At 38.4% G+C, this 10,353-nt stretch overlaps 1 long non-coding RNA gene across 1 annotated transcript; it reads left to right on the top strand.

Moving 5' to 3' along the window:
• Positions 1 to 4,365: 4,365 nt before the first annotated feature.
• On the top strand, positions 4,366 to 9,168 carry LOC107984822 (uncharacterized). The gene is made up of 3 exons (XR_001752333.1): positions 4,366 to 4,467; positions 5,582 to 5,711; positions 8,981 to 9,168. It is a non-coding gene; the product is annotated as an uncharacterized LOC107984822 (long non-coding RNA).
• The last annotated feature ends 1,185 nt before the right edge of the window (positions 9,169 to 10,353 follow it).

Genomic DNA, 10,353 nt, shown 5'->3' with positions numbered 1-10,353 from the left:
ATAATAAAAAAGGATTTTAGCATCATTAGCATACATGTGCTAGTCGGAGGAATGGATACAATTATCTAGTGAGAGAAAATACAGGATGGTGTAAGGAGAGAAAATGAAGCAAAGCAAGAAAATAGAGCCTGGGAATACCATTTTAAAGAGTAGTATCTCGAAAAAGTATATCATAGTGGTAAGAAATTTAAGATAATGAAAGGCAGGGAAGAGATTGAATGGAGAGGGAATGGTCAACCATGCCAAGTACTGGATTTTGTCTTTTTGATATGAATGTGAGCTCCTCACAGGCTTGCAAGCTCCAGATCAGGACCAACCACGCACTGCTTGCTAGCACCCCCTTCTTACATGTGATCAGCACTCAGTAAATGTGTATTGATTTATATTACATACCTTGTATAATATCTAGAGCTGTGCCTGACATATAACAGATGCTTTTCATTGTTCATGAAATGAAAATGTAGTCAATACTTTTAAGAACTGAAAATTGTCTACTGGCAATTACATATTAATCAGCTGCTTGAGAAAGCTCAATTCTGAATACGGGTGTAGTTTCCCTTCTTGTTGTTTGCTTGCCTCTTTGAGAAGCTGAGCACCTCCATTTAGTAAGAAAACCCTGGGAAATACACATGGGAGGATAATCCTGGAAAGTACTTATTTTACGGCAGCCTTTTTCAGAAATGTGTTCCTTAGAACTACTGCTACATGAGATACTAAACAACAAACAAACAAAAACAAAATCAAACAACAACAGCCAAAAAACATAGTCAATAATGTTTGGGAAACTGTAGCCCCTGGGGTAGTAACAGAGTAAATGTAGACATCATCCTTACCTGCATGGTGCTTAGAATCTAGCAGGCGAGACAAATTCGTCTGTTAATTTCACAAATGAACTATTAAATTTAACTGTGAGGCTAGATGTGGACTAGCAATTCTGTAATGACTTTAAGGTTTTCATGTGCACTTGAGCCCTCTGAAGGCCCCGAGCATCCCTAGGTTGCAGGTATTTCTTATGTATATCCATCATGAAGAAAGAACTCAGCTCTGATTGCATTTTCAGACAACCGGGGAGCTGGCTAATGTGCCTGCATGTGAGCCATTCTCAGAATAAAGAAGTCTGAATCGCTGAGAGGAGCCCAGGTATGATTCTCATATGCAGCCAGAGTTAAGAACACTCTTCTTAATGTTTACCGAATTTGACACTGGAATTACCCCTCTGTTAAATTCACAAAGAAGTAACAATACGGGCAGCTCTGTTCTCAGTGCTGGCTCTTCACATGTCCCTGTTCTGTGTGCTCAGTGTCCAGCATCCTTCAGTACATCTTGTCAACTGTGTCTCCGTGGTGGAAACTCAGTAAATATTTGCTGAGTAAAAAATTATACTTTTTTTCATTCCTAATGGAAAAAGTATTCATTATCATAATTTTTTGAAATTTTGGTCTATATCATAATGTACGACAAAATGTACAGTTAAAAAAAAAAGTTATGCCTTACAGATTATTTGGGCACAGTCCAAACAATGGTATAGAAACTATAGAATAGCATCAATATTAGGACTCATTTAAAAAAATATGAAACTGAAATGGGACTTATTATCATGTGCTATTTAATGTGGTTATATTTTCAGTTGTCATTAAATTAATGGTGTAGCTTAAAATCAAAGGAATATCAGGTTTTATTAAAATGTCACTAGAATCAGTAAATGTCTATTATAGTGACTGACAACAAAATAAGGAAAATCAACTGCTTTTTTGTAAAGAGCAGTAATATGTTAGATGATAAAAACAAAAGGTCAATTTTCATTTTCAATCATGTAGAAAAAAATAATTGTATACTAAAAATAACAAAGTATTTGTGACCTATATTGGCAAATAAAGTGTATAAAAGAGGGCTTGCATAAAAGGGAAACAATCTTTGTTTCTGCATGAGCAAACCGAACAATATAAAGATGGCTTTCTCAGGTTAATTTTGAAATGTTATTGTCAATGTAGTTGATTAAACTGTATTCATTTACTTACTTATTCATAAAATATTTTTGAGCCACTAATAGGTATACTATTCTATGCTGAGTACTGACAATTTCATGGAAGAAAACCAGATGGATCCCCATATAGTTTAACATTTGTAATCTTAAATATAAAAGTTACAAAATAAATATATACAGTCTATTTTCAAATACGGATGCACTTAAATAATAGCTAAAAATATAAGAGACTTGTTTTCTTATAAGGATCAAGTATGTCTAGTAAATATTATTTTGATGAAATATCAAGCAGAAATTATTTGCAGAGAATAATAAATAGTAGAGATATGCTGTTCCCTTCAACATACACACAGAATATAGATCAAAGGAACACGATAGAAGTCCAAGGAGAATATCGATGACATATATGGAATTTAATATATGATGAATTAGGATTTCATAATGATCAGGACAAGGATGGTCATTTAACAAATGAAGTTGGAAATGCTTTCTCATAATTTAGGAGTAAAAATTAATTAATACCCACACCTTATAGCATATGCCAAAACAAACAATAAATGGATTAATGAAGTATCCACACACACAGAAAAGTATAAAATAGACTTAGATCATATGAAGTATGACAATGGCTAAGTTTTAAATGATTAGAGAAAATCAGAAAGAAATAGGTGAATTTAATGATGCACAAATTTTAAACACTCATGTGTGGAAAATTAAGATAAACATTTAAAAATACAAACCAAGAATAACAATGACACCAAATATAACTGACACAATTTGTAATAAAGGTTTTTCTTCTGTTGTTATTTTTGTTTTTGTTTTGAGACCTAGTCTCTCTCTGTCGCCCAGGCTGGAGTGCAGTGACCTGAACTTGGCTCACTGCAACCCCTCCTCTGGGTTCAAGTGATTCTCCTGCCTCAGCCTCTCAAGTAGTTGGGAATGCAGGTGCACGGCACAACTCCCGACTAATTTTTGTATTTTTAGTGGAGATGGGGTTTTGATTCTTCCTTTCTTATTCTGTACCCAGAAGACAGAGGGATCCTTTGTGTGTGTGTGTGTGTGTGTGTGTGTGTGTGTGTTTGTTTTTGACTTGGAGTTTCGCTCTGTCGCCCAGGGAGTGCAGTGGCAAGATCTCGGCTCACTGCAACCTCTGCCTCCCGGGTTCAAGCAATTCTCCTGCCTCAGCCTCCTGAGTAGCTGGGATTACAGGCATGTGTCACCACGCTTGGCTAATTTTTGTATTTTTAGTAGAGATGGGGTTTTACCATATTGGTCGGGCTGGTCTCAAACTCCTGACCTCAGGTGATCCACCCACCTCAGCCTCTCGAAGTGCTGGGATTACAGGCGTGAGCCACCGTGCCTGGCCCAGAGAGATCCTTATAAAACAGAAATTACACTAAGTTTTCCTCCTGTTTAGAAGTCTCCCTTGGCTTCTTGTTACATATGAAACAAAATCTACACTGTTAATTGCGGCCCGGGAGCTACAGCACCACGTGGCCTTTACTGGTCCTCAACTTCATTTTCTGTGGTTCTTTTCTCCCCTGCAATGTCCTGGCCACTCTGTTCTTTCCAGTCTCTTCCCAGCTTCCAGATCTCCTTTGCATATGCTGTTCCCTTTGCCAGGGATGGTGTACATTCTTTCCTGGACTTTAGGGAGGACTTCACAGGGATAGCTCTAACACCATACCTAAATCAAATCACCTACTGCCCACCTCTATCCCACTCTCATCCTTCACCATTTCTTTTCCTTTTTGTCATTCACACAATTTGTGATTATTTAGTTGCTCTTCCTTTCTTGGTCATCTCTTCCCTAAATTCTCAGTTTCATGAATGCAAAATCTATTCTGTTCTCCACTCTATGCTTAGAATCTTGCATAGCCATGTGCATAGTGAATTGGCATGTGATAACTATTTGGAGAATGGATAAATGAATGAATTATTAAATGTATGAATGAATGAAATACCTCTGCCTCCAGTACTGTCACCTTCCCACCCTGACTTTCGACGTAGGGTCATCTTTTGTACAGGACAATGCTATCTCTAAATTTAAGTGTGTCAATGGCTGCTTAATGCATTCAGATAAGGTGCAAAACTCTTCATGGGTATATTAGTTCCCTATGGCTGCCATAGCAAATTATATGGAAAGAATGAAAATATTTGTAAAGTATTTTAGGCAAGGAAGAAATAACAATTATACCCGTATTATGAATACAAATATGCAAAATATTCACAAATACAGAGAATAGCTCAAATGATAAAAAGATAAAAAACCACTCACAGGATAAAGTGAGAGAATTGTTGGGGGGTAATATTGTGAATTTTTTACCCATTTTCTTTCAGTTTTTTCCGAATATTCTTTGCAAAATAGAAGCAAACTGGGTCAAAACCCCATGATATGAGGAGCACACCAATCTGCATCTACTGAGCACATGCTACTTTAACAAAGAGCAAGATAACATTTTCCCTCAGAAAAAAGTGCTGATGTGAGTCACAGTGGGTTTGGCTTAAAATCAACTGTGAAGATTGCCCTGGGGGAATGTCTGCTCACCCCTCTCCCCCAAGTTTCTTCCCAAAATCCAACAGCAATAGTCTAACTCTCCCAAATATTTGCACTTTGCAATTTTATTGCTTTCTCTCTATAAACTCTGTTTCTATAATTTCTTAGTTCTGCAGAATTTAAAGTGTGTTTCTCCCTTTTAGCCGAAATCAGGTCAATTTTATTGGCCCTTAAAAATAGGTAGTTAGTTGGTTAGCAAGACTATGAAAAGGTATCAGATAACTCCAGGTTTATGGAAATAGCTTTAAATAGATTCCAAGTTTATGGAAGGACTGAATCTCAACCATGCTGACTGCAGCAGAAAGTGGAAATTAAGTCTTTCCTGAGGATGGTCGACAGTTTAATATAATTTTTAATGATGAAACATCTTTAAATTAGGAATGCAGCTATTTTGACCACAGAGGAAAATATATAATGCAAACCCCTGAAAGAATGAAGAATGAAAGTGAATTGAATAAGGAAAGATGAGAAGCAAAATAGCATCTCAACTTCTAAGATGATAAAAGTCTGTCCTCTGGGGACCCGTTTTTGAAAGTGTCCTCTACAATAACACCCTTTCCCAAACAGCAGTGGTGTTTGCAAATAAGTACCAATTACATGCCTTGATTACAGATTCAACCCAGGGTCTTATGTACCAGTGAGACTCAATACCCTTTTTATACCTCTATGCCCTTGCAGTGTTGGATAAAGGGCAGCTCCGCAGAATTGCAAGTAATTTTCTCTTGGGCAGGAAAACAGGAGAAACACATCTTTAAAGTCATAAATGTTACAGGAAGTGTCCAAGGGAGTGAGGTTTGCTGCTTTCTCTGCTTTCTCTTTCTTTTTCTCTTGCTTGGGCATGAGACAGCTCCTGACAATTAGAAGAGTGTGTGCGTGTGTGTGTGTGTGTGTGTGTGTGTGTGTGTGTGTGTGTGTGTGTGTATTTCTGTGTTTGGTTTTGTTTTTCCAGGTTCACCTAAATGCATTTATATCCAAATAGCATTCCATGCATATTATACGTAATACACAGTCAAGGACAGGGTTTACTTTTGTTATTCCAGATCATATCTGACCTTTCCAGAGAAAGCAGGTGAAAACATCCCTGCTTTAAAGAATAGGCAACAAAACCACAGAATTTAGAGTCTTTACTATTTGCCTGAAAGACAAACCGGAAGACCAATCTCCTGACTGGTAAGTTGGTATTCTTTCCATTAAACAGTGCTCAATATGTATAGAAATAACACTGGAGTCTTCTTTGAGTGCCAATTCTGGTGAAGCCGGTCTGGAGTGAGACCTGAGATTCTATATCTCTAATAAGCTCTGATGCTGCTGGTCCATGCATCACGCTTTGAGAAGCTAAGTATTAAATCACAGTAGCTAGCCAGAGCACATTACTTAATCATACTTTGGGCTGAACATGCTGAGGTGATCTAGTTTTTTCCAGGATAATTTTGTTTTCCTCTGGTGAGAGGGTCCCAATTAAGGTGAGGAGAAAACAAAGGAATGGTAGAAAGTTAAGGTTTCTGAAGTAGTTAATACATGCCAAGTGCTGTGACAGACATCCGTTCATCCATTACATCACTTAATTCTCACTAAAGTAATGTATTATTGTCTCCTTTATATCCACCAAGAAATATCCTTGGAGATAATACGGGGCTTCCCCAAGATAGCCAATCCAAGCAACAGAGCAGGGATCCAACCCAGTTTTTCTGACTTAGAATCCTACCTGCGGTATATATTACAACATAATAAAGAAATTGTCTTTGCCGGGCACAGTGGCTCATGGGTAATCCCAGCACTTTGGGATGTGGCATGCTGAGGCAGGCGGATCACCTGTGGTCAGGAGTTCAAGACCAGCCTGGTCAACATGGTGAAACCCCATCTCTACTAAAATACGAAAAGTAGCTTAGCTGGGTGTGGTGGCGCATGCCTATAATCCCAGCTACTTGGGAGTCTGAGGTAGAAGAATTGTTTGAACCCAGGAGATGGAGCCTGCAGTGAGCTGAGATTGTGCCACTGCACTCCAGCCTGGGCAACAGATTAAGACTCCATCTCAAAAAAAAAAAAAAAAAAAAAGAAAGAAAGAAAGCATCTTTAAAGTGATTAATACGCACCTTGATGATCTTCTTTATTTTTAATGGATTTTAATATTTCCAAGATGGAGTGTGTGCAATGCTTCTAGCAGCTGCATTACTGTTGACTGTGGATCCTCACACAGGAGTTCTCAGCTGGGAGGAGAATGTAGACACATTCCAATTCTAAGATGCAATTTTGGATGGATACCAAAATAACTTTTACTTTCATCCTTTTGGTATGGAAGATACAAATCTTTTAAAAGCTGGAGCCCAAAGAAATGTAAATATAGCTTATTCAGGTCTGACATTTCAAAAGAGGTCACCCCACCAGCAGTGTCATCCCTGGTCTATTATCAGGTTTTCTGTCACTCATGGTGATTAAGGGTGATAAACAGTGCAAAGCACTTGGAGTAGGCCAGAGGGCACAAAGAGAGATGTAGTTCACTTAAAAAGGACCACATTTCCTGAGAATAGAAAAGGCCATTCACTCTCTGTGTCTTTGCTTCCAAGGAAGAAATCATTGTTCTTTCAGAGACAAAGCAGTCATCTCCCAGAATTCTGCTAGAATGTCATCTGGGGGGGAACAGTTAGTTACCCAGGCTATGGAACCTACTGCGTGGAAGAGTCACTGCTGTGGGAATCATCTGGCTCCCACTGTGATCCCCATTCCATCCTCTCAGACTGCTTTTAGATTGGCTTTGAAGTTAGTACAGAAGGGGATTATTTCACATAACAGAATGCTCTCCAGGTTAATCCATGTTGTTGCAAATGACATTTCTTTCTTTTTTCAGTTTGAATAATATTCCATTGTGTGTATATACCACATTTTCTTTATCCATTTATCCATGAATGGGTACTTAGATTGATTTCACTTCATTTATGCATGGGCTTTTAAAAATTCAAACTCATAGAAGTAGAGAATAGAAGGGCGGTTACCAGGGGCTAAGGGTTGGAGAGATTGAAGAGATGCTGGTCAAAAAATACAAAATTTTAATGAGGAGAAATAAGTCCAAGGGAGCTATTGCATGATAGCTAGTAACAATGCACTCTACACTTGGAAAATTGCTAAGAAAGTAAACCTTAAGTATTCTCACTAAAAATAAATACATGAAATAATACATACGTTTATTAGCTTGATTGAGCCATTCCACAATACATGCATATTTCAAAATGTGTAGTACATTATAAATGTATATAATTGTTATTTGTCAACTTAAAAATAAGACAACTGGGGCTGCATGAGGTGGCTCATGCCTGTAATCTCAGCATTTTGGGAGGCTGAGGCAGGTGGATCCTTGAGCGCAGGAGTTCTAGAACAGCCTGGGCAATGTGGCAAAACTCCATCTATATAAAAAATAGAAAAATTAGCAAGTCATTGTGGCATGCACCTGTAGTCCTAGCTACTCAGGAGGCTGATTTGGGAGGATCGCTTGAGCTCAGGAGGTCGAGGCTACAGTGAGCCAAGATCTCACCACTGCACTCCTGCCTGGGTGACAGAGTGAGAACCTGTCTCAAAAAGAAAAAGAAAATTTAAAAAAAGACAGGTGCCGGGCGCAGTGGCTCACGCCTATAATTGCAGCACTTTGGGAGGCCAAAGGGGGCGGATTATCTGAGGTCAGGAGTTTGAGACCTGCCTGACCAACACAGAGAAACCCTATCTCTACTAAAAATACAAAACTAGCTGGGCATGGTGGTGCATGCCTGTAATCCCAGCTACTCAGGACGCTGAGGCAGAAGAATGGCTTGAATCCAGGTGGCGGATGTTCCCATGACCCAAGATCGCACCACTGCAATCCAGCCTGGGCAACAAGAGCGAAACTCCATCTCAAAACAAACAAACAAACAAACAAAAAACAAAAAAAAGAACGCATGCAAACTTTTGAGGGATACAAAACGTCCTTTTGTCAGAGCTGTCTTATTAGCTGTCTTATCTTCACTTCTATTCATGCTGAGTTGTATTTCCCAACACTGGAGATAGTCCCTTACTCTTGTCCTTGCCTAGAAGAACAGTGTTGTTGGCCGGGCACAGTGGCTCATGCCTATAATCCCAGCACTTTGGGAGGCAGAGGTGGGCGGATCACCTGAGGTCGGGAGTTTGAGACCAGCCTGACCAACATGGAGAAACACCGACTCTACCAAAAATACAAAATTAGCCGGGCGTGGTGGTGCACGCCTGTAATCCCAGCTACTCAGGAGGCTGAGGCAGGAGAATCACTTGAACCCAGGAGGCGGAGGTTGCAGTGAGCCAAGATCACGCCATTGCAGTCTAGCCTGGGCAATAAGAGTGAAACTCCATCTCAAAATAATAATAATAATAATAATAATAATAATAATAATAATAATAATAATAATGAACCACTGTTGTTGTAATTGTTTGGTTTTTAGGTCTGGCACTCTGCTGCTTCCTTGTCAACAGTGAAGCAAGAAAACCCATGCAAGCCCAAGATGCAATGGGTCAAGGGCTGGTTCTTTCTCCTTGTGATTTTGGTAATCTCTGTTTTCTTTCCTCTCTCCCCTTTTATACATACAGTATTTTCTCTTCAGTGTTTAGGTATAGACTTTGGATTCAACAATGTCTTCTGTCTTAGAAAAGCTCCCGAGGCATGGAAGTGCAATGGGAGTGAAATACAGGCAAGACAAATTTGTATCTCAATAATTTATAACTGTGATTAATTTTCTTGATTATTTCCCTCTCCAAGAAACACATTTTCAACATATGGTAAAGCTTTAGGGGAGCAAACAAGCCAAAATTCAAAGTCCAGATCTGTAACAGAATAGTCATGTGAATTTTGGTATGTTACTCAAAGCTCAGTTGCATCTACTGCAAAATAAGTATAATAATACCCCATCAGTTTGGCATGCAAATTATGCCAAAAGTTCTAAATGCTTCAGTGGCTCATAATTCCCAGTAACTTGTATTTATGTTGTCTAGGATGTATTTCACTGGAGGAATTATATACTCCAGATAAATAACACAATTTATATCTACAACATTCAGAGAATTTTGGAAGGAAGCTTTACACCAATTTCAAATAATCCTCAACCTATGAAACTCTAAAGTGAGATTACCCCTCAGATTTATACCCACCAATTCTAATAGTTTAAAGAGAAAAGAAAAAAAGAAAAGAAAGTTTCCAGTACGGATTTCATGACTAAATTAATTTCCTAAGCTGTTTCTGCAAAACATAGAGAAAATTCCAATTCCACTCCATCATACAAGATTTTGACATTATTTCTCATTTTTATATCATGATAAACAGAGGACATGATAGTATTTGTACAATACCCTGGATTAAATGGATGAGGCTGCTTGTAGCGGAAAGAAGTGGACTTGGGGGCCCAGTCAGCCTCATTTCCCATCTGTCAATCTCTAGGGATGACAGAACCAATCTTTTGGCCTACCTGTAACCTATCCAGAAATACCAGTGGTTGGAAGTTGGTACTCTCTGAACTAGGACACAGAAAACAGTATCATGCATGTATGGAATATGAAGCATGTTACTCTATTTGGAAATGGAGTTTAAATTAGAATAAATAGTAAATCAATTAATCAGTATATCTACTGATTTAGCCAATCATTCACTGCCTCCTAAACTTCTCACCCATTATATGAAAAGAAATAAGAACTTGTTTCTGCTCTATGGGCTTACAGTCTAGAATAGCCCTCTCCAATAGAAATATAATTCAAGCTTTAGATGAAAGTCATATATGTAATTTATAAACATAATGTAAAAAGTTATGTATAAATAATGTAGCCA

This window comes from Homo sapiens, chromosome 16 (assembly GCF_000001405.40).
Source record: "Homo sapiens chromosome 16, GRCh38.p14 Primary Assembly".
Classification (NCBI taxonomy): Eukaryota; Metazoa; Chordata; class Mammalia; order Primates; family Hominidae; genus Homo; species Homo sapiens.
This window is presented reverse-complemented; position numbering and strand designations above follow the sequence as displayed.